The sequence below is a fragment of the Homo sapiens genome, chromosome 8 (assembly GCF_000001405.40).
Source record: "Homo sapiens chromosome 8, GRCh38.p14 Primary Assembly".
NCBI classification, from domain to species: domain Eukaryota; kingdom Metazoa; phylum Chordata; class Mammalia; order Primates; family Hominidae; genus Homo; species Homo sapiens.
The window spans coordinates 51,914,914-51,939,875 of NC_000008.11; the positions used below are offsets into that span (position 1 = coordinate 51,914,914).

Sequence of the window (24,962 nt, forward strand, 5' to 3'; positions counted from 1 at the left end):
AGCATATGTTTAGGTTTTTTAAGGATGTGCAAAAAAATATTTTCCAGAATAGCCGTACCATTTGACATTCTCACCAGCAACGTCTAAGAGATCTAACTTCTCCACAGCTTTACCAGTCTTAAGTTCACTACTTTTTACATTAATTATTCTAATAAGTAAGGATGTTGAATATCTTTTCATGTGCTTAGTTGCCATTGGTATATCCCCTTCAGTGAAATGTTATTTTGGGTCTTTCTCTGATTTTCTAATTGAACTTTTTTGATATATTTAATACCTCCCAAATTTACATTTTTGGAAAGTGTTTGTTTGCTTGTTGGTTTGTTTGTTTTGAGACAGGATCTCACTCTATAGCCCAGTCTGGAGTGCAGTGGTGCAATCACAGCTCACTGCTATCTTGACCTTCTGGGCCCCAGCAATTCCCCACCTCAACCTCCCCAAGTAGCTGGAACCACAGGCATGCGCTCCCATGTCCAACTAACTTTCTGTTGTTGTTTTGTAGTGATGAGGTCCCACTATGTTGCTCAGGCTGGTCTCCAACTCCTGGGCTCAAGCAGTCCTCCCTACTCAGCCTCCCAAAGTGCAGGCATGAGCCACCACGCCCAGCAAGAGTTCTTTATATGTTCTAGATCCTTTGTCAAATATGTGGTTTGCAAATAGTTTTTCCGTGTCTGTACTTGTCTTTTTATCTTTTAACAGGGGTTTTCATAGACTAAAAAAGTTTTTAATTTTGATGCAGTTCAGTTTATCATTTTTATCTTTTATGAATTGATATTTTGGGGTCACGTCCAAGAATTCACCAAACTTGAAGTCCCAGGAGTTTTCTATTATCTTCTAAAAGTTTTAGAGTTTTATATTTAAATCTGTATGATTCATTTTAAATTAATGTTTTATATAGGATTTGAAGTTTAGGTTGGATTTCATTTTTTTCCTATAATATCTATTTGCCCCAGGACCATTTATTGAAAAGACTATTCTTCCTCTATTACATAGCTGTTGCTATTTTAGCTGGTTTTCTATTATTTTGTCAATAATCAGTGGCAGTCCATATGTGGAGTTACTTTGGGGTTCTTTATTGTGTTCCATTGATTTATGAATCTGTCCCTACACCAGTGCCACCCAATCCTTGTTACTCTAGCTAAAAGTTTTGAAAATTAATAGAGATTTTGTCTACTTTGTTGTTCTCAGAATTGTTTTAGCTGTTCTAATTATTTTGCCTTTCCATATATAAATTTTAGAATGATCTATATCTACAGAAATAATAGTCTAGGATTTTAACAGTGTCATGTGCATCCATGTGAAGAGACCACCAAACAGGCTTTGTGTGAGAAACAAGGCTGTCTATTTCACCTGGGTGCAGGTGGGCTGAGTCCGAAAAGAGAGTCAGCAAAGGGTGGTGGGATTATCATTAGTTCTTATAGGTTTGGGGATAGGGGGTGGAGTTAGGAGCAATGTTTGTGGGCAGGGGATGGATCTCACAAAGTACATTATCAAGGGTGGGGAGAATTACAAAGAACCTTCTCAAGGGTGGGAGAGATTACAAAGAACCTACTTAAGGGTGGGGGAGATTACAAAGTACATTGATCACTTAGGGTGGGGCAGAAACAAATCACAATGGTGGGATGTCATCAGTTAAGGCTATTTTCACTTATTTTGTGGATTTTCAGTTACTTCAGGCCATTTGGATGTCTACATGCAGGTCACGGGGTATATGATGGTTTAGCTTGGAAATTGTGTTAAATTTGTACCTCAATTTGGAAAGAATTGGTATACTATGTTGTGTTTTCCCATTCATGGCCACAGAATATCTCCCAGTTTATAGTATCATTGATTCTTTTGTCTGTGTTTTATAGGTTTCACCATATAAGTACTGTACATATGTTATTAGATTTACATCTGAGTATTTCACCTTTCTTAAGTAATTGTAAGTGGTACTGAATTTTTAATTTCAATTTCCACATGTTTATTGCTAGAATATAGAAATGCAATTGATGTTTGTATGTTGATCCTGTATCCTGCCACCTTGCTAAACTCAGTATTTCTAGAAGTTTTTTGTGTCTATATGAGCATATTTCTTAGGGTTTTCTATGTCAGTTATCATGTCATCTGCAAATAGAGACAATTTATTTCTTTCTTTCCAATCTGTATGTCTTTATTTCCTTTTCATGTCATTTTGTGCTGCCTAAAACTTCTAGCACTATTTTGATTACACATGGTTAGAGGGCATATCCTTCCTTGTTTCTGATCTTAAGAGGAATTAATAGCCTTTCATAAATGAGTATATGTTATTTATAGGGTGTTTTTATAGGTGTTCTTTATAAAACTGAAGGTATTCTCATAATATGCTGCTGAATTTTGTTTGCTAATTTTTTGTTGAGGATTTTTACATTTATATTTATAAGGAGTATTTGTTGGTAGTTTTATTTCATGTAGTGTGGTCTCCCTGCCTGGCTTTGATATCAGTGTAATATGAGCCTCAGAAAATAAGTTAGGAATTGTCTGCTTATCTTCTATTTTTTTGGAAGACTTTGAGAAGTGTTGGTGTTAATTCTTTAAACATTTGGTAGAATTCAACAATGAAGCTATTTACTATTTGGCTTTTCTTTGTTGGGAGATTTCTCATTACTGATTCAATCACTTTACTTATTATGGGCTTAATAAAATTTTTTATTTCTTCTTGAGTCAATTTCTTCTTGAGTAATTTGCATATTTCTAGAAAATTGTCCACTTCACCTAGGTTATCTAATTTATTGGGGTACAAGTGTTCATAGTATCATCTCATACTTTTTTTTATTTCTGTAAGTTCATTGGAATGTCACCAATTTTATTTCTGATTTTAGGTTTTTGTGTCTTCTTGCTTTTTAAAAATATCAGCTAAACTAGACTGATTTTTTTTTTTTAAAAAAAAAAGCAAGAAGATGCAAAAACTTTGTCAATTATGTTGATCTTTTCAAAGTACCCACTTTTGGTTTTGTTGATTATTTTGTTTTCTAATTTCATTTATTGTTGCTATAATTTTTATTATTTCTTTTCTTCTGTTAACTTTGGTTTTAATTTGTTCATTGTGTCAGTCAGAGATCTTCAAAACCAATAGAAGATATACAAACCAAACATTGGTTTAAAGATGTAACACCAATTATACATAATCTCTTCCAGAAATTAGAAGAGGAAGAAACATATTGTAAATCATTCTATGAGGTAAATGTTACCCTAATAATAAAACCAAAGACATCAGAAAAAAAGAAAACTACAGACCAACATCTTTCTTGAATAAATATGCGGACATTCTTAACAAAGTAATAGTAAAGAGAATTCAGCAATATGTAAGTTGGCTTTTCCTTTACAGTGTTCACTTTGATTCTGTTTCCCACATTTCTGGCAAAGCTAATTCTGAGAGTTTCTGCTTGATTTTTTGTGTTGTTTTTGTGTTTTGGCAAAGCAAATTCTGAGAGTTCCTGCATGATTTGTGTGTTGTTTCTGTGGAGGACAGGGTGCTTGAAGCTGTATACTCTGCCATTTTTGCTGATCGCTGATTATTTCTTTAAAGTTTCCTCGGCTGACTCTAGTGAGGAGCCTAGGTAAGAACCATTGATGTCACTGCCTCCTTCCCCACTGTAATTTATTGCCACTATACCTCTAGTTATATCAAATAGCTTGTTGCCGTGGAGTCCTCTTATGCATTTGTTACTGTCTTTGAGGTTTCAATGCAAGGTATTCTACCTTTACTGACTCTTCCAGGGAGAAACATACAACCTCTTTACCACTTTTATAATTGCATATTTGTTTGCCTTCTCAACTGAATTGACTCTTTGAGGGCAAACCCTTTCTCTTACTCACCTTTCATACCATAATGTCAGACCCATAGTCAAGAGATGTTAAGTGAACCACAAACTATGTGTAGTAAGTGCTTGCTAAAAGTACATCAATTAAAAATGGTTTCTGGGTCTTAGTCTAAAGAGAAACAAACACTCACAATCTTTTGCTTTCTGTTTGGAACATCATTTTCTTTCTCAGGCAACAGCAGCCCCAGTAAGGATAACCAAAAGATATGAACAAAAATAACTGCAGTAAGAGAAATAGTTCTTAGTCTCAGACCCTACCAGTTTAATAAGTGGAGGTGCTACCTCATTTCCAAATGCATTCCTTCTCTTGGAAATGTGCAGGGATGGGTGCCTCCTGTGTCTACCTGCTGCAGCCTTGGGGCCATGCTCTGTTCTGCTGTCTTGACCTTAACTGCTGTAGCTTCTCTGGGCCTTGCAGATTAGGGATGTGTCACTTCTCCCTGTCACTGTCCATGTCATCCCAAGTGTCCATGCTTCCCATTTCACTGCCAACCCACGGGCTCTGGTAGCTATGGATCCAGTCAGACACCTAATAGCTACAGTGTCTTAGTCCGTTCAGGCTGCTGTGACAGAATACCACACACTGCATGGCTTAAAATCAATAGAAATTTATTTCTCACAGTTCTAGAGACTGCAAAGTCTGAAACCAAGGCACTGGTAGATTTGGCGACTGGTGAGGGCCCACTTCCTAGTTCATAGAGAGCTGGATTCTCATTTTGTCCTCATATGGTAGAAGGGACAAAGGAGCTCTCTGGGGTCTCTTTTATAAGGGCACTAACCTCATTCATGAGAGGTCCACCTGATGACCTAATCACCTTCCAAAACCCCACCTCCTAATATCATCACACTGGGAAGTAGGATTGTGACATAGGAAGTTTAGGGGGATGCAAACATTCATTCTACTGCATATGGATTCAGGCATTAACTCTATCCGCTATATTTTAAAACATTTGTTGGTTTAAGAGGTATCATTGTATTTCACACAGAGGTGGCCTTGAGAGCTCAGACTTTTATAGACTATATTATTCAAATGCTCTTTAGTCTCCTAACTCTCCAACTTGAAGACTTGAGCCTTTTTGTGTTAAAAATGTGAATTCTCACCATTCTCTCTTTCTTAGAATCAGAGTCTTAGTTCTGAGTTGGGCCCAGGAGTTGTAGTTTGTGACATATGCCTTAGGGGATGCTGATGCAGGCCTCATGGGCACAGGCAGCACAGAGATAACTATTGTCATCATCGTTTGCCAGTTGTAAGCACTCTAAGCATCACAACAGTGCTTACAGTTCACCTGAGGTTCCACCTGATTCACATATTTATTTGTAATGATATCTGGAAATTAACAATTAAAATTTTTAAATTTATATTTTTAAATTAGAACAAAGTAACATGTATGTCCTGGTTAATATAAATCATATATTGCTGCTGGACTTGTAACAAAATCAACAGTTCCTTCACCCCATCCTTCCTCACCCTTGACCCACCTATCCCCGGGAAACCCACTTTTAATCATTCCTTTTTAATTTTGTTGTGGTGCTCATTTCTTTAATCAAAATTATGTTAAGTGCTGTTTAATACTTATTTTCAGACATTGTCATCCTCTTGCAATGACGGTTGCAGAGATTCTTCACTTAGTACACTCATTGCTGCTCTCCTATTTTTTATTTCCTTGACTATATCTTCTGTCTTTAAAAAAATCTACGTAAGCCTAAATTTCCTATTCCATTGAGCATAGGCAGTCTCGTGAGTCCCTACTCTATAAAAGGATGACATTCACTTCCACACTTTCTCTTTACCTCTTCTTCCTGGCCCACCTTCCAATCTATGCAAGTGCTCAAGGTCGATGTCATTTTTATTATTTATAATAAAATTATAATTATAATTAAATTATAAGTGTTCTTCAACCTGGGACTTTATGAATATAGACAATACAAAGGATTTAATGATAAAGCTTACTATGGAATGAGAATCATAGTTTGCAGTTTAAGTAGCATGATTTTATGCAACAATTATGCCTAACATATATTAATATGCTTAAATGGTATTCTTAGATTAGCTTTCACTCTTTCTTCATTTAAAACTGATAAAAACTTTAGCCAGCTAGCTTTATCTATTGTATATTTCCCTCTTTTCTTGTTGCTTGAGTTCCATCAACCCTGTGCAGTTTTTGCCTACTGTGTATCTGCACCAAATGCTTGCTGCTTACTTGTAGCTGAATCTTGTTAAAGAAAAAAATTCTGTCTGGACATGGTGGCTCATGCCTGTAATCCCAACACTGTGGGAGTCTGAGGCTGGAGGATCGCTTGAACCCAGGAGTTAGAGACCATCCTGGGCCACACAGTGAAACCCTGTCTTGCCAAAAAATTTTTTTAAAAATTAGCTGGGCATGGTGGCACATACCTATGGTCCCAGCTACTCAGGAGGCTGAGGCAGGAGGATCACTTGAACCCAGGAGTTTGAGGCTGCAATGGGCTGTGATTGCGCCACTGCGCTCCAGCCTGGGTGACAGAGAGAGACTCTGTCTCTATAAAAAAAAGAAAAAGAAAAGAAAAAGTTATTCAATGACGCTTGTTAAAGTACAGTTAAAGAAGACTGTATTCAGGACGATCTCAATAGGTATAGGGACCATTGTAACAAGGTCTTGCATAGCAATGGGGAGAGAGATTGGGTTTAACTCCAAATACATCATGGGCAAGTGGGAGTTGATAGCCAAGGAGTAGGGTTGGGGTCAATGAATAGAAAATTAGTAAGAGGTAGCATAAGGGAAAGGGGAATTCTGGCTAAACTGACCTACAGGATTCTTGTTGAAGGCAGGCAGGGTGATCAGGCATCACCTGGCAGCTGGTGGGGATGAGGAACCTGATCAAGATATTGAGGATGATCCAGTATTGAGAATAGGAGCTTCTTGTTAAACTACCTAAGCAGTGCACTTTGCTAAAACTGGATTTTATAAGAAAGCACAGAGATGGGCCTTAGCAGAAGATTCAGAAGCCTGACTAAAGTTTGGCCAAGCAAGGACTCTATGTCAGTGGACAAGGTGGACTTTGTTACTCAAACATCCTTTGACCTAGTCTTGGGTACAATTGTTTCACATATCTTGACAGCAGAATGCAATATGCTATGCTCCCTTAGGAGGAAACTATAGCATTAATCTCAAGTGCTTGCTTAAAGCAGTTCTCAGTCTCTGCACCTCTAATGGCTCCAGATTTCAATTTCTATTAATAGCTTCCATTTGATTTCTAAGAATGTCTTTCTTCCACAAAAAGTGGATAAAATACTTGATTTTGGTTTTATATAATCTAAGAAGGGTGTGTGTATATGCTTGCCTGAATTTTAATAGTTAGAATTCTGGTAGACATACAACCTGTTACATACTATGCAGTTTATATTTTACTATCCTTTATTCTCTCTTTATCTCATCTGAAACATCAGCTCCTCAGAGAAGTTTTCCTTCTTGTCCCAGCCCCAGTCACTCTCCATCCCAGGTCCCCTTTTTGTTTTCATCGTAGCTCTTTTAGCTATGTGCAGTGATGCCATATGTGTGTTTGTGAGTCTTACCCCACTAGTATGTGAGTTCTGTGCTAGCAGGTACTTTGTTCCTTTTTCTCTCTCAGTGCTGTATCCTGAAAGCCAACAGTGACCAGTAGGGAGTGGCTTAGTGAAGATTGTTAGAAGGGACAAAATCTATCTATCTACTTCCTGGTACAGAACCAGGCTATGTTTCCCAGCAAGCTGCGTAGTGGCTTGGCCAAATGACTAAATGTTCATGAATGAAATGTGAGCAGTGGTGATCTGTGCCCTTGGAGACTTATGCCTTACGACAGTGTCTGCATTCTCCAGGGTCTCCTTCCCTTTCTCCCAGTGATCCAGCTTCAGCCAGGCAGATGTCACCAATGCCCTAAGGGAAAGAATGAGGTTCCTGAATATGAATCGCTTCCAAAAGTAGAGCTGCCCCACCAAAAAGATAGCTTACAGCTTGCAACTGTTAATGTGAAAAGAAGTAGGTTTTTTGTTTGAGTCTTTGTATTGTTGAGGCGCTTTGTAATGGTAGTGTCAACGAAAAGTCAAACTCTGTAAAATATTTAAAGATATTTATTCTGAGCCAAATATGAGTGACCATGGCCCATGACACAGCCCTCAGGAGGTCCTGAGAACATGTGCCCAAGGTGTTTGGGGTGCAGGTTGGTTTTACAAATTTTAGGGAAGCATAATCTATCAATCAAATACATTTAAGGAATACATTGGTTTGTTCCAGAAAGGCAGGTCAACTTGAAGGGGGCGGAGCTTCCAAGCTATAGGTAAATTTAAACATTTCTGGTTGACAGTTGATTGAGTTTTTGTCTAAGGACCTGGGATCAATAGAAAGCAAACATTCAGATTAAGATTGTTAGGGACAAATCACCCTGAAAGTGCTTCTTGGTACTGCCAACAACCCCCCTCTAAACTTCTCCGGGCTACCCCTCCCCTTCCCCTAAGACTTTTTACATTTCTAAGCCCTTATTTAGGCACCGTGGTGGAGCCAGCAGACCACTTATCAGACCTTGCTGCGATGAGCAAATCCCAATTACAAACCATCCAGACCACACGGGGGAGGTCGTGGGAAGCATAAGCAAAATTTACCTACACCCCCATGTATCATAAACATCATAAGGCGGTTTGTGGCAGAATTAACCAGCAAACAACCCCAGGGTCTCTCTGCCCCGTATAAACCCCTCATTTTTTAAGCTCAGGGCTGCCTCCTCTGTCTGTAATGGAGCAGCCGGCAGGTTGAATAAAGGTTTGCCTGAACTTGGGTCTCTCTCTCTTGTCCTTTCTCTTGGCTGACCTTACAAAGATAGAAGATTGTGGAAACCAAAGTTCTTTTGAAGTCTCATGGCGGCTCCCCTTAGAAACAATAGATGACAAATGTTTCCTATTCAGACCCTTTAAAGAGTGCTAGACTCTCAGTTAATCTATTTAGAATTGGAGGGGCCTGGAAGGAAAATGTCTAGTTGTGTTAATAGGGATTCTTTACAGATACGAATTTTCCCCCACAAAGGATGGCTTGCAGAGCTATTTCAAAATGTGACAAAAAACATGTTTTGCCGGTAAAATATTTTTATTTTCTCCCTTGTCTCATAATGTTATTGACAGAACAGGAGCATCGCCATCTTGGATGAGCACCACCATTTTAAAGTTCAGCTTGATCAAAAGCTGCCCAAATCCAAAGGGCGTCAGCCTAATGGCTAAGGTCAGCATGATCATAAAGCACAAATGACATTTATCACCAGAAACATTCCAAACATAAGATAAACCTGTCCCCGACCAGAGACATGCCAGCCCCGAGATTACCTCCCCTCCGGCTGGAGAGATGTCAGCCCCAAGATAACCCCCGTCCTGCCGGAAAGATGTCAGCCCCGAGATAACCTCCCCTCTGAGCAGAGACATTCCAACCCCACCATAAACTTCTCCCCTACACGGAAACATTCCAAGCTTGTGATAAGCTCTCTCACCCTAAAACCAATAAATTCTCTTAGTCTGTAAGAGATAGCATTCCTGACCAAAATCGGCCAGAAGCCCCTCTCAGGTTTATTCTCCAAAATAAATATGTCTTTGACTGTGGAGCCACTTTTCATGTTTCTTTCCACTTTCTTTAATTTACAGTTATGCCAGAATCAGGTTTGGAAAATAAGTCACAATATATAGGGTTAAATAAAACCTGTCTGATGAGAATCTATGGTTTGTAGGGCATGACTCCCTAGACACCTTAGATAGGAATTTGGGCAAGATAAAAAAAAAATCAGAGTTTAGTCATCAGTAGCTTAGCTTTTTACCCTAATAAAGTAAGTCTTAAATAAGTATTTGTTGAACAAAATGTTAGGGCTTAGAAACTGATACTCCAAGATATGGTAGTTTGATATGCTGAACTGAAGGAGCCTCAAGGTCTCTCTGACTCTCCCCTCTCTCTAGTCTCTCAATCCTCTGTCTCTCCCAAAACACAGGCTAAAGTTGTTCTCTGAAGTTCCCTTGTCTGCCCAAAGTCCAGACCTACCAAAGAAGAAAACAATTATCTCTGATTTCTTCCCTGAGTTTTCATTAACTGAACTTTTTACTGAAACACCAGGGATTCTGTCTAGGACTTGCTGCTCCATGTACAGAATGCCAATCACTGACTCAATGAGTATTGCCAGGGAAGAAGGCTTTATTGGGTGCTCAGTGGAGGAGAACAGGAGGTCAGTCTCAAATCTGTCTCTCCAACTGACCAAAATTGGGATGTTTATGATGCAGGATTTTTTGCTCCTTAGTTCACCTAACATCCTGGTTCTTGTTACATAACCAGGAAAAATTAGGCATGTGGAAACATTGAAAGGTGAGGAGAGCAGAATTTATTAAAAGAAAGCTCTCAGTGAATAAAAAGGGGGTCCTGACAGCAGGCTCCCACCTCACAGATTGAATATCAGGGCACCACACATACAAGCTGAGGAGTCCAGGCTCCTCCCTACTGCATAAGGTGCTGATCCCTGGTGGCTCCACCCCATACTCCCAGTGTGCAGGCAGGCCCCCAGTCCATTGTGGGCATGTCCAGACAAGGCCCTGGGCATGTTCCCCCTCTGCACAAAAGCATCTGATATGAACACTTGTGGGATGGATTGGAGATTCTCCAGGTAGCCTCCCTTATCTGCCTCCTGCATCTATCATTTATATAGAGGGGAAGGCAGGGAAAACAGAAATTAGGGAGGAGTAAGGAAGCAATTATGATGGATACGAGGTCTGGCATCTCATTGTCTGGATGCGGTGATCTGACGAGTTTTAGTCCCTTGCCTGAGGGTCAGTTTCCTGAAGAAGGAACACAGTTAAGACAAATATAAGTTTTAAATATTAAGATGGAGGGTCCATTTCTGTGTTATTCAAAAACCCATATATATCATTTCTATGAGACAGTTGGGCCTATTTCAAACTCATATCACAGGAAGCAAGAAACCATTGTCTGCCCTGTGGGCCCAAACAAAGTTTGTCCCAGGTTACTGAGTGTTTTTCAAGCCCATCGAATTCCCCTAAAACTAATTTACTACTCCCTAAAATAATCTACACTTTTCCATCGTCCTTTCCCCTAAGAAGAAAGGTATATAACCATCTGTATACTTTATGCGTGATGCAGCAATCACTCTGTGATTTCTCCTGCTCCCTGCACACTAATCAATGGGTATGCCATTTCTCCTATCAATCTGCCTTTGTCAGTTTATTTTCAGTGAACCTTCAGAGGTTGAAAGGAAAGTTTTCATTAGTCCCTACAGAATGAAAGAATGAATAATCGTATTTCCATTTATAGTTGGGGAAACAGAATAGAAACTTACAGGTGTTGCTCAAGGTCACCTAATTTTGGATTTAATCCCAATTCTCATTCCAAAGCCCATGATTTATTCTGTGCATTAACAGTTCATTCTTTTTTTAAAATAATTTTTTTGTGTGTGTTTATAGAGACAGTGTCTCACCATGTTGCCCAGGCTGGTCTCAAACTTCTGGGCTCAAGTGATCCTTCTGCCTCAGGCTCCCAAAGTGCTGGGATTATAGGCATGAGCCATCACACCCAGCTAGTTGTAACTTAAGCTTTAGCCACATGAAGACTACCAGAAGAGCTCCTCAGGTTGAGACAGAAATAATACAGGGTGGTCACAGGAGAAAATTCTAGGCAGCAGTTTCACATGGCTAGCCAAAGAAAACTGTTGAAATGGCTGCATGAGCTAGGGGATGAGAAAACCTGAAAACCAGGGAGTGGACCAAGCTTACTGAGACCAACTGGACCCAACATGGTGCTGGATTTGACCTAGGTTTTACCTAGGACCTCATTATATGCTCAGTAAAACATTAAATCCATTACCCACCAGTGCCATGACAGTTTTGGGAACATCTATATTTGGGGTAAAAATAGGTGGTACCGCAGTTCCAAGGAATCTTCACCTTTTTCCAGGAATCGGTGTGAATATTCCTTGGTTAAAGAAGTAGAAGCCTCAAACCCCATTGGGTGCTACTCTCTCTCGAGTACAGTTGCACTCCCTACTCCCCTTTCTTGATTACTTACTTCTTGCTTCGCAATAAATCCCCATAGCCTGCGAGGTCAAGGTTACAGTGAGCCTTGACTGTGCCACTGTACTCCAGCCTGGGCAACAGAAGGAGACACTGTCTCAATCCATCCATGCATCCATCCATCCATCCATCCATCCGGGTATTGCAAGGAGTTAAAAAAAACTCCCACACAAATTTAGGTTTTATTTTCAGATAAGCTCTTCTATCCATCCAGAATGAAAAGGTATCACAGGTTACTCACTTGAAGCTGCATCCTCCTTAGAGGAACTTTCACAGAAGCTGTGTCCCATCCTCCCTTTGCTGATTTGAAGCCCAAATTTCAACCCATGCAGAATCTTTTAGGGAAATTCTCAAGACCGTAATTATATTTTACCACTATAAAGGTGGACTGTAGTTTCTGCAGGTGACCACGTTGAAAAACATTTCTTCTTTTACTGAAAATTAAACTACTTCCTACGTATTCTTTGCAGAGAGGACCAAGAGCTGGCTCTGAGTCTCTAAGTCCCAGTAGTGTGGGGAGTGACAGCCTCCACCCTAGTGTCCTGGGCTCCACCCCCAGCAATTTGAAGTTGCAAGGTCTCAGACAGCACCCAGAGTTTTGGGGACTTCTTTTCCAAGTGTGAAAGGAGGCTCCTTTCCAATCATTATGTTTTAAATTTACTTCAGAGCTCCAAGGGACCACTGACAGAAGAGTTTTTTAATAGTCTTTTTATTTTTCACCCAGAGTAACATTTAAAAATAACAAGATATTTTATGCATCAGTTGCTTCACATCTTCTACTGGAGCAAACTTTTTGTTGGTAGTGTTTTGTTGTTGGCTGATGTTTCAAAGTTCCAAGAACTTGAGCCTCAAACCTCACAGAGAAGTGACTACAAAAATGTTCTTTCCTTATTTATCATGAGGCTAACAATAGTACCTACCTCACAGGCTCATCTAGAAGATTCCATAAGTCAACGTTGATTGTAAAGCACTCAGGTCACTGCCTGGCACATAAGGAGTGCCATTTATCAGTTTGTGAAGTGAAACCATGGTCAAGTTTTGTAGTGGCTGCTTTGCCCTGGCCAAGGGAAACTGCTGCTTTCTTTTATAGCTGTTAGTAGCATTAAATTGCAACTCTACCTTTCTTATTTAGGGGTACTAAGGGGGGAACTTCACTTTGTGACAAAAATATAACAAAATCTTAAGCATACAGAAGTGCTAGAACAAGGTGTAAAAACAAAAAGAACATCTGTATTAGTCCATTCTCACACCGCTATAAAGAACTACCTGAGACTGGATAATTTATAAAGAAAAGAGGGTTAATTGGCTCACAGTTCCATAGGCTGTACAGGAAGCATGGCTGGGGATGCTTCAAGAAGCTTACAATCATGGCAGAAAGTGAAGGGGAAGCAAAGACATCTTCACATGGCCAGCAGGAGAGAGAGAGAGAGAGCAAAGGGGGAAGCCCTACATACTTTTAAACAACCAGAGCTAGTGAGAACTCACTCACTATCACCAGAACAGCAGGGGGGTAAATTGACCCCATGATCCATTCATCTCCAACCAGATCCCTCCCCCAATATTGGGGATTACAATTCAATATGAGATTTGGGTGTGGACACAAATCCAAACCATATCATCACCTTATGCTTTTGTTCTGTTCCCATGTTGGCATTTATCTGGAGCCTGGAGTAGCAGTGCCAGATATTCCTTATGACAGTTTATCAAAGCCGGCTTTGCAGAGGTGAAGGAAGCATGGCCACATGGCAGTGAGCCAAGAGCGCAAACTGTGGGATCCAAGAGTGGCCAAGGCTTTCTTGCTACATGTAGGAAATGGTATTTTTGATACACATCTCAGATAATTCTGATAGAGGTAGCTTTGTTACAGACCACAGGCTCTTTGGCTACCCATATAATGGAAATTAACTCATGGCCAAGCAGATTTTCCAGATAAGACTTTTATTATGGGGCTTATGCTCAAGTGCAAGGGAGACAGCAACGGTGAGAAAGATCCTCTGGCTAGCTCCCAAAGAAACGCCATTAGGGATTTTTTTTTTTTTTAATTAGACAAAACATGGGAATTGATTTCAAGACTAGTGTATGCAGGCTGGGCTGGGCAAAGCATGTGAAGGGTAGGGGATGCAGGTCAGCATGTCTGGTTGTGATGGTTCTCTTGAGTAATGAACCACCTGGTGGTCTGGTGGGGGCAGCGAAGCAGTAATCAATTTTTCAGTTTTTCTTCCCAAGGAAGGACACTCGCAACCTTGTTTGATGTTTAGCTCTCCTAAGGTCAGTTTCTGGAATTCTCTAAGTAAAAGGAATGGTTGAACATTATGAGAGCACAGAAGAATGGCTATTTGCTTTGTGTGACAGAAGCCTCAGGGTTAATGGGTATACCATCCATGAAGTAGTGGTGTGGGTTTTGTGAAGAGAAGAAAAAAATAAAAAATGTATGAAGGAGAAGTCATGTCCCACTCCTGTTCATCAGTCTGAGGATTGCACTTTGAGAAACACAAGTCACCCTTATTAAATTTCAATCAAACTTATAACTTTTGAATATATATTGTAATTTTATGTATTTATTTATTTAATTTATTTATTTATTAGTGACAGAGTCTGACTTTGTCTCCCAGGCTGGAGTATAGTGGCATGATCATAGCTTACTACAGTCTCAACCTCCCGGGTTCAGGTAATCCTCTTGCCTAAGCCTCTTGCATAGCTGGGACTACAGGCATGTGCCACTACACTTGGGTAATTTTTAAATTTTTTTTAGTAGAGATGGGTCTCACTATGTTGCCTAGGCTGGTCTCGAACTCTTGACCTCAAGCTATCATCCCACCTTGGCCTCCCAAAATGGAATTACAGGCATGAGCCACCATGTCTCTCCCATATTATAATTTAATTGGACAAATTGCCTGAGCTTTTCCATTCTTTGTCATTTTAGATGAGATGGAAATAAAAGACTTAGTAACAGTTATGCTGGAATCTTACATGCAAATGCATGTTCTTTGAATAAGAGCAGGTTTCTTTATTTAGCATTTCTAATTTAATCCCTGACATTAAACCACATTAGAGTCTTTAATTCTTTTACTGTTTTATAAACTGCTGAAAAGCAATTGAGAGATTCAAGCAACTCTGGTGCATGTATTTTTAAAAACATACCATTTGTCTAGGTGTGAGCCCAGCATCTAAGCAATGAGTGTAATTTTGTACCCTGGGATTTTGTTTAGTGTGCCTGCAATACACCATGGAAGAAAGTCCAACAATGGTTTAACTAGGTTTATCAAAAATAAGGAAAAATTCAAGATGGATCCTGCTATTAAAATACGTATTCTTTTAGCCATAGCATGTATTTAGTACATGAAAGTGTGTGGGGTTTTTTTTTTTTTTGAGTTGATAAACATGAGAATATTTGCAGGTGAATATTACCCAAGGCTTAATTTGTAACTTTGTCCTTATGTAAGTATTGGAAAATGGCTCATGTCCGACAATTTTTAAAAAACAGAGCCATAAATAAATATCACATCTCGTAGAATTAATGGTTTTCCCCAAGATGAAAATTACAGGAAATAGAACTGTTGAATTCTAGGAAGTTGTCTACACCAAAGACAATGGCATTTTAAATCTTGACATTCCTTTTAAGTCACGCCTTTTTAGATAAGCATGTGGGACAGTGGGGGTTATCTACAGTGAATTTTGGTTATGTTTTTGGTATTACAAAAGCTCTGATCTTTTCAAAATGCTCAAGTTTACTATGTTATGGCCCAGCACCCTGCTAGTCTTAGTTGAAAATAAAAAGGAGCGTACCACTGAAAAATCAGTGTTTGTTTTCTTCACTATCTCTTAAAGAAAAAGAATGCCATTTAGTTAAAAAAAAAATGTCTTCTGTCTTCCAATATGACATAACAGAACCTTGAAGGATTTATATCTTGGAAGGTGAAACCAGCATTCCCTGGTTAAAATGATTAATTTACAAAACCAACAGAAGGTGAGGAGTAGAGGAGCTACAGTGTCACACTGCAAGGGAGAGAAAAGCGAAGTTGTTACCCTATTTAAAACAAACAAACAAACAGATAGAGAGAAAGAAACTCAGAAAATGCACACAGGAAGTGATTAGCGGCAATTGAACAAATGGCAGGTGTTAAATGAAACAGCATCAGGACTAAGGCTAAGTGAAATCATACAGGCTCTGAGTGATTTTATTAAGGATGATATTTATGACTTAAGTTTGGAACAGTGCATCAAGAAGATTCAAGAGTAAACTCCCTGGCCTCATCATAGGTGAGGGCATTGTCTTTTTGGCCTGAGCTATTTCCTTAGCCTCTTAAGTGACCACTCCGTTCTCAGTCTCTCCCAACTCCAGCCCAACTTTCGCATGACCACCGTGACCACCCTCTACGTTAAGGCCTTTATATCTTGACTATTACTTGGAGAAAAAATCCCAAACTTCTTAATAATAGTAACCCGGCCGGGCATGGTGGCTCACGCCTGTAATCCCAGCACTTTGGGAGGCCAAGGTGGGTGGATCACCTGAGGTCAGGAGTTTGAGACCAGCCTGGCCAACATGGTGAAACCCCATCTCTACTAAAAATACAAAAAATTAGCTGGGTGTGGTGACGGATGCCTGTAATCCCAGCTACTGAGGAGGCTGAGGCAGGAGAATTGCTTGAACCTGGGAGGTGGAGGTTATAGTGAGCCAAGATTACGCCGTTGCACTCCAGCCTGAGCAACGAGGGTGAAACTCCGTCTCAAAAAATAAATAAATAAATAAACAAAAAATAACCCATAATAGTTTGGAACTGTAAGATCTATGTAAAACTGAGCAAACCCTGGCAACTTTACAGTCTGTGGAAGACCAATAGCCCTGAAAGAGTTATAGGGATTTCAGGGCCTGTTCTGCCTTCACACTTCTGTGCAAAGGCTGTCCTTGGGTACCACCAAGTTGTTTTGATTCCTTGGAAACCTAGTTCCAAGGAAACCTAGTTCCAAGGAAACCTAGTTTCTTGATCAGTTTCCAGAAGAAAATAAATCAGTGATATGGTCACACAATGTGTCTACTTTGGGGTATACAGAGTCACTGAACACCTGTGGTTCTTTCTTGAGGAGGAGCTACACTGTGTACAGGCTAGACACAGTGGTTCTCTCCCTCCCTTTTCTCTTCTCTCTCCACATTCTTCCCTCATCTCCTTCTTTGGGGCAAAACAAAGCTTCTCTCACTGTTGCATGTGAGGCTTTTAGCAATGCTTTCAGCTGCCTGGACATGACTTTTGGGTCTCACCATCTATCTCAAGGTGCTAAAGCATTCTTCCCACTAAAGAGAATTCTCCAGTGCTGGGTATTTTCTTGTTGTCCCTCAGAATTTTCTTGCTGTCCTGCTCTGTGGTCCAGGAAGGGTGGGAACTGCATCAGCAAAAACCTCTTATCTTAGGCCTCCAGGTTGGTTCAACCAATGGGAGGCAGCAAGAGATGGCACGGGCCTGGGGGAAGGCAAGTTGTGGCAGGGACCTCCCCTGGCGCCTGCTCTGCACCAGGTCCTGAGGGTGCTCTGTGTTTCTTCTAGTTGTCCTCTCTGGGTTCTGATCTTCCTTCCTTTGCTCCTTCAGGCCTAGGGCTGGCAAAGGCTCTCTAGGGGGTGACATTATTCCTTCTTGGTATCTTTAAACTCAGACCCACCTTTGCAGATAACTTGTTAATACTCCTCAAATAAACCAGCTTGAGTATGCCAAGACCCTGACTTCCTATGAGGGATATGGTGCCTGACGTTGTGACAGTCATAGTTTCTCCACTTGCTGACACATAGCGTAGGAAGCATTTACAGTGCAGCCTCACTTTATGTTCCCATGCTCACCAAACCTCCTACCTTTCTTTGACCCTAACAGTGTTTTAACTTCATGTCTTTGTGCACTTGGGGTTTCCTCCTGCAATGGGGTGCCTTTTCCTCCTTTTCTGCCTAGCACCAATCTCTTTATCTTCAAGATCCCTCACAAACGTCACTTGTCTGAGAAGCCTTTCCTCTTACCTCCTCCCTAGAAAGACTTGAACTCTGTGCTTCCATGCAATAATTTATGGCATGTCTGTCTCCCCACAGAAATTATATCTTCATTCATTTATTCATTCCCCCCAAACGAATATCAGTTATCCTCTATGTTCCAGGCACTGTGATAAATTCATGGAAACACAGCATCAACAAAACAAAGTCCCTGCCCTCATGGAGTTTATATTCTAGTGAGGGGACAAACAATACACCTGTGAACAAGTAGATTGATGATTATCCAGTAAAGGTGAGTAGTATTGAGATAAATGAAGCAGGCCAAGAGATGACCTGTGTTAGAATGAGAAGTCTCCAGATAAGGACAGGACTGTTGCCAGGAGGTCTGAGTGAAGAGCTGGTAGTTGAGCAGAGACCTGGATGATGTGAGACTATCTGAGGGTAAATCTTTTAGCCACAGAAACAGCAGTGCAATAGTCCTGGGGGTGGGGAGGAAGTGTGCTTAGTATGTTTGAGGAAGGGCACAGAACCAGTGGGTTGGGGAAGCATGAGGATGTGAGATGAGGTCCACTCAGGGCAGGTGAGCCTAGGATGTCTTGCACCACAGGATCACAGATTTGGAGTTCCCTGGAGAGCTATGGGTAGGGGCTACCCTAACTTGACTATGCATTCTGTTAACCCCAGTGGTTTGTCTAGAGCCTGGCTGAAGGGATGACTAAATTGTAGTAGACCTCAGTTAATTCTGTAATTTTTTTCTCCTTTAGCCAATATAACTTTCCCAAGTGTTATAAAAATATCTGTGGCTTGTTTTAAAGATACAACACCAGGCAGTACAGCTGACATCCAAAATGACAAGGCTGAGAGGTGACAACCCTCAGCCAACCCTGACCCCTCCTGGTGTCTCTGCCTCTGTGTCTGTCTCTTCATAATGTGGAAAGTTTCATCCATGTTGGGAGCAAGCCCCCCAAAATCCGGCCATAAACTGGCCCCAAAACTGGCCATAAATAAAATCTCTGCAACACTGTAACATGTCCATAATGGCCCTAACGCCCAAGCTGGAAGGTTGTGGGTTTACAGGAATGAGGGCAAGGAACACCTGGCCTGCCCAGGGCGGAAAACCGCTTAAAGGCAGTCTTAAGCCACAAACAAAAGCCTGAGCGATCTGTGTCTTAAGGGCGTGTTCCTGCTGCAATTAATTTGGCCCATCCCTTCGTTTCCCTTAAGGGATACTTTTAGTTAATTTAATATCTATAGAAACAATGCTAATGACTAGTTTGCTGTTAATAAATATGTGGGTAAATCTCTGTTTGGGGCTCTCAGCTCTGAAGGCTGTGAGACCCCTGATTTCCCACTTCACATCTCTATATTTCTGTGTGTGTGTCTTTAATTCCTCTAGCGCCACTGGGTTAGGGTCTCCCTGACAGAGCTGGTCTCGGCACATTCAGATCTCAGGCTCCAGGCAAACTCTCAAACACCATGCAGCATGCTGTGTGAATTTGAAGCCAGGAGGCAAGGATGCCATTCTACCTATCAAAGCCATAAGCTTATTTTTCACAAAATGTGTCCAGTTAGGTCTATGCTCTTAAGCCATTTTTTCAAATTATAAATGACAGCAAAAAATAAAAAGACTTACACTAAGAAAAACAGATGCCGATAGCCCATGTACTAACTAGAATTATCTCCTTGCTAAAATATATATTTTTTAGGTACACACAGACATACAGAGGAAAATAACAAACACTGGGGACTCCAAAAGCTGGGAGAATAGGGAGGTGAGGGCTAAAATATCACCTAATGGCTACAATATTCAGTATTTGAGCAACAGGCATACCAGAAACCCAAACCTCACCATTGTACAATATATCCATATAATAAACCTGCATATATCTTGAATATATATATATAATGCTTTATGATATTGTCATTCATGAATCAAAATGTATAACTACCTATAAGAGATACTTTTCTTTTGTAAATTTTAGCATAATACAAATACGGCAAAGTAAGGAACTACAAAAGAGCAGAAAACAGTTGTCCTCTGGCTTCCCACTAAATATTTATTTTAGCTTCCAGATCATGCAAATATTTGAATAGAAGGAAACTGCATTGTAGAAATTTATTTTAGTTACAATGAGATTAATGGCATCTATTAGATATATTTTGTGATTGAGTGTTCTGAAAGGAAAACTGCTTAAAAATATATTTTTAAAATTTCATAACTCTACAATTCTGAATTCTTTATTGATTAAATAAATAGCACATCAAGAAGGCTGATTATACTTGAATATAAACAGATTGGTCACAGAAATCTAAACCTATGCTTAATTAAATTTAACCAATAAACCCAGCTCCCCACCAGGGTGAGAGTGTTGGCACACAGCAGATGATCCTCGTTGTTTCAGTAACATCACGGGGATTTACCCAAACCACTGTGATGCCAATCCAACCAAAGCTCCTGATGGAAAAGCTTCAATCTCAGGAATTCAGTTTGGCGACTTGCCCTGTGAAGAAGATGAAGCTATATAGAAATGTAGCGTAAAGTGATTGCTTTCCTAAAGATTGCTTAATTACCATATTTTTTTTAATTTTGGAAAAGAAATCTTTAATAAATAAAATACAACAAATCCACCAGACATCAAAAATGGAGAAATGAGATTTAATTTCATTGTAAGAGATTTGGTTTAAGCAGAAGAGAGACCTTTGTAACAGAAAAACTATCTAGACATAACCATCCTAAGAGATATTTACCTCTTCTGTAATAATATGGCAGAAAGCCAGTTTTGAAATGACTGAGGTGTTTTAGAGGTTAAAGATGAATGTTTTTGAGAAATTAAGCAGTCTTCTATTCAAATAATTGTGGGTGTTAAACATTTTTAGAACTCATCTTTATCCTTCATTATTAATAAATTGATATTATGTAAGAGTTCATTTTCATTCTTCATCAGTGCTGCAACTTTTTATCCATTAAACAATTAACTCCCCATTCCTCCTTCTCCCCAGCCCTTGCTAACTGACATTGTTTTCTGTCCCTCTAAATTTGACTACTCTAGTTACTTCATAAAAGTGGAATCACACAGTCTTTGTCCTTTTGTGTCTTACTTATTAGTGTAATGTCTTCACGGTTCATCTATGTTGTAGCATGTGTCAGACTTTCATTCCTTCTTAAGGCTGAACAGTTTTTTATTGTATGTATATAACACATTTTCTGTTCATCCATTGGTGGACATTTGGGTTGTTCCCACCTTTTGGCTACTGTGAATAATACTGTTATGAACATGGGTATATAAAGATGTGTTTGAGACCCTGCTGCTTTCAGTTCTTTTGGGTGTTTACTCAGAAGTATAATTTATGGATCCTTTAGTAATTCTGTCAGAGGTGTGTGAACCAGAGCAACTCCATCTTAAATACGAGCTGGGTAAAATGAGGCTGAAACCTACTGGGCTGCATTCCCAGACAGTTAAGGCATTCTAAGTCACAGGATGAGATAGGAGGTCAGCACAAAATACAGGTCATAAAGACCTTGCTGATAAAACAGTTGCAGTAAAGGAGCCAGCCAAGACCCACCAAAACCAAGATGGCCACAAGAGTGACCTCTGGTCGTCCTCACTAGTAGACTCCCATCAGCACCATGGTACTTTACAGGTGCCATGGCAATGTCAGGAAGTTACCCTATATGGTCTAAAAAGGGGAGGCATGAATAATCCACCACTTGTTTAGCATATCATCAAGAAATAAACCATAAAAATGGGCAACCAGCAGCCCTCAGGACTGCTCTGTCTATGGAGTAGCCATTCTTTTATTCCTCTACTTTCTTAATAAACTTGTTTTCACTTTGCACTGCAGACTCGCCATAAATTCTTTCTTGCACGAGACCAAAAACCCTTTCTTGCGGTCTGGATTGGGACCCCTTCCTGTAACAATTCTATGTTTAATTTTGGGGGGAACTGCCATACTGTTTTTTTCTGAGCTGTACCATTTTACATTCTTACCAGCAACGAACAAGGGTTCCTATTTATCCACATCCTTGCCAATGAAGTGGTGTAACTGTCTGGGGTAAATACCCAAGATTCATCTTCTCACACCAGAGAAATCAAGGATGCAGACACATGAAGTGAGTTTAAGAGCAGAGGTTTAATAGGTGAAAGAGAAAAGAGAACATCTCTCTCTCCTGCAGAGAGGGGTTCCCAAGTGGGTCTTCCGGTTTCATGGTAAAATGCAGGGGTTTTTATAGACAATCTTGAGAAGGTCGTGTCTGATTTACATAGGGCCCAAGGGATTGGTTGGACCTGTGTGTCATTTGCATAGTGCACAAAGAAGCTGGCCATCCCACTCTAATCTTTTTAAAATTTATTTTAATTAATTAATTAATTTAATTTAATTTTTTTTTTTTTGAGACGGAGTTTCATTCTTGTTGCCTGGGCTGGAGTGCAACTGGCTGATCTCTACTCACTGCAACCTCTGTCTTCCGGGTTCAAGCAACTCTCCTGCTTCAGCCTCCTAAGTAGCTGGGATTACAGGCATATGCCACCACACCTGGCTAATTTTGTATTTTTAGTAGAGATGGGGTGTCACCATGTTGGCCAGGCTGGTCTCGAACTCCTGACCTCAAGTGATCCGCCCGCCTCGATCTCCCAAAGGGCTGGGATTACAGGCGTGAGCCACCAGGGCCCAGCCCCACCCTAATCTTTTATTATGCAAATGGAGTATCTATCTGGCCTGCACCATATTGCCTGTCTTTTTAGTGCACATGTGGCCACAAAGAAAAGGGAAGTGGGAACTTCCACGCTGAACATGTCTGGCACCCAGGTAGCCCTTTTCTATTGGCGCAGCTGCCAGCATTTACCTATGCAAGCTTCCAGCTTGCTTATTTATGTCTGCAGCTTGATTTTTCAGGCTGCTGTTTGTTAGAAACGATGTGATTTGGGGGCTGCTTTTTGTTAAAAGGGAAGCCTTACCAGGGGTTCTCTTACCCTTACTAACTACCTGAATATTTCCTTTCTAGCTCCGGTATCACCAACACTAGTTATTTTTATTGAGTCTTTTGATAAAAGATTTTTTTTAGTGAGTGTAAAGTAATATCTCAATGTGGTTTTGATTTGTATTTCCCTAGTGATTAGTGATGGTGAGCATTTTCTCGTATGGTCATTGGTTTTTTGAATATCTTCTTTGGAAAAATATCTATTGAAATTCTTTGCCCATTTTTGAATTGGATTTTTTGTTTTTTGTTGTTGAGTTGTTAGGGTATTAAAATATATATAATTTTCAACATTAATCCTTTATCAGATATATAATTTGCAAATATTTTCTCCCATTCTATAAGTGGCTGTCTTAGCTAGGACAGCCATAACAAAATGTCGTAGACCACGTGGCTTAAGCAACAGAAATTCCTTTTCTTACACTTCTGGAGTCTGGAAAATCTGGTGGATTTGGTGCCTGGTGAGGACTTTTTTTGCAGTCTTGTAGGCGGCTCCCATCTTGTCTTGGGGCATTAAAAAAAGCCAATTATCATCTTAAAGAGAAGGTTGAAACCTACCTCTGTAAAGCAGGCATTCTCCAAATAGAGAGGAGATGCAATGATTTAGTTCATCATAGGAAGTGTGGCACCACCAAAGGTTAACCTGACACCTGTCTGAAGATTTGTTTTCAAGTCCCTGCTCAGCATGGTTCCCTTTGTGACCTCCAGAAAGTCACTCAGATTCTTTGGACCTTATTTTTTTCATCTCTAACCTCTCATTTCATTCTATTTAGACAGATTATAGGACTAGGACTCATGTTTTTCTTCTTAGCATTGAAAAGGCTATTCCAAGAAACCCACTTTACCATGAGAATCTAATCTGCAGAGGATACAAGGACTTGAAGTAGTTCAGATTATACTTTTAGAACATATTCAATCCAGAGTCATTACTCAGTTTACCTTCTGTATTTCTTTCTTTCCCCATACTCATTTTTTTAATTTAAAATATTATGTGGTGCCATAAATATATTTTGTAACTAACTTTTTTACATTCTTTCATGTAAGGTCACTTAGTGTTCTAACTTTATTAGCAAATTAATTTTACTCAGTATTATTGTACAAGTTATTAAAATTTTATTGCTAATAATTTTCAGTTTTAATTAATAAGCATTTAATATTCAACATTATGATGCCCATATTTGAAGTGTAATTTCCCCTTGCTTAGATTACTTTTCAATGTCCGCCAATACTGTCTTACAACACTAAACATTTCATATTATGGTAAATAAATGATGGTAAATTTAGGATAAGACATGTTTGGATTCAAGTTTGTAGACGTCGGTGCACTTTGAATGTATTGACTCATCTTACAGCTGGTCACTGTTAGTGGATTACTACGGTTTGTTATTCCTGTTTTGCTGATGGGTAGCTCATTCAGAACACAGGGTTTGCACACCATTAGTAAACAATAGAACTCCAGCTTCCTGTGTTGCTAGTTTTCTCTCTTTAAGATTCTTGACAACTATGCAATCAGCTTCTCTTGCTACATAGAGTTAAATGGGTGTTGGAAAGCTGTCACTATTTATTCTTAAAGGATTTCTTTAGATTGTGAGAAGGGCTTCTGCCCAGGAAGCTAGTCTGGTCAAAGTGTTGCATACATGAGAGGTCCGAGCACATTCACAGGTCCCTGTAGCTGTTAGCACCTGTCTGTGAGCAACCCTTGATCTTCAATCTTTTCTTCTGGTAGATGCTTTAATGGTGAGAAAAACCATATTCTGCGTGACTCCTGATGCCATATGGCTACTCTGGCCACTGAGAGCTGCCAAAACAACTAAAATAACAGCCTAACCTTTCATTTTCATTTTCTCCTTGAGCGGGAATGTGAAACATTGCAGCTTTTATCTGGGTTGTGTGTTCAAGTTTATTTGCTTGCTTGTTTATTTATTTAACGTGCAATTATTATGGTATACATCAGTCAAATGTAAAACTTTCAGATATTTCCATGGGATTACAATACTTTTGTATATTATATGAGTAGTTTAAAATTTTATTCCTCTGTTTTCCACTTTTCCATTTCAATCACCAGATTTAAAATGTCACATCTCTTTGAAAGAACTTAAAGGCAAGATATTTCCTAGTATC

General features: G+C 39.8%; 1 long non-coding RNA gene across 3 annotated transcripts in view, besides 3 other annotated features; it reads left to right on the forward strand.

Annotated features, from left to right (window-relative positions):
* The window catches only part of PCMTD1-DT (PCMTD1 divergent transcript), a 50,575-nt gene that overhangs the window by 15,599 nt on the left and 10,014 nt on the right, over positions 1 to 24,962 (forward strand). The window lies entirely within an intron of this gene.
* Positions 10,117 to 11,316: an enhancer, noted in NCBI's record as "MED14-independent group 3 enhancer chr8:52837590-52838789 (GRCh37/hg19 assembly coordinates)". NCBI's record gives its function as "activates an origin of replication core promoter dependent on BRD2, BRD4, P300/CBP and CDK7 cofactors, and independent of MED14, by STARR-seq in HCT116 cells {active_cell/tissue: HCT116}" and the evidence as "EXISTENCE:reporter gene assay evidence [ECO:0000049][PMID:35650434]".
* Positions 18,239 to 18,368: a silencer, noted in NCBI's record as "silent region_19187". NCBI's record gives its function as "represses an Ori minimal core promoter by ATAC-STARR-seq in GM12878 lymphoblastoid cells {active_cell/tissue: GM12878}" and the evidence as "EXISTENCE:reporter gene assay evidence [ECO:0000049][PMID:35858748]".
* Positions 22,694 to 22,843: an enhancer, noted in NCBI's record as "active region_27342". NCBI's record gives its function as "activates an Ori minimal core promoter by ATAC-STARR-seq in GM12878 lymphoblastoid cells {active_cell/tissue: GM12878}" and the evidence as "EXISTENCE:reporter gene assay evidence [ECO:0000049][PMID:35858748]".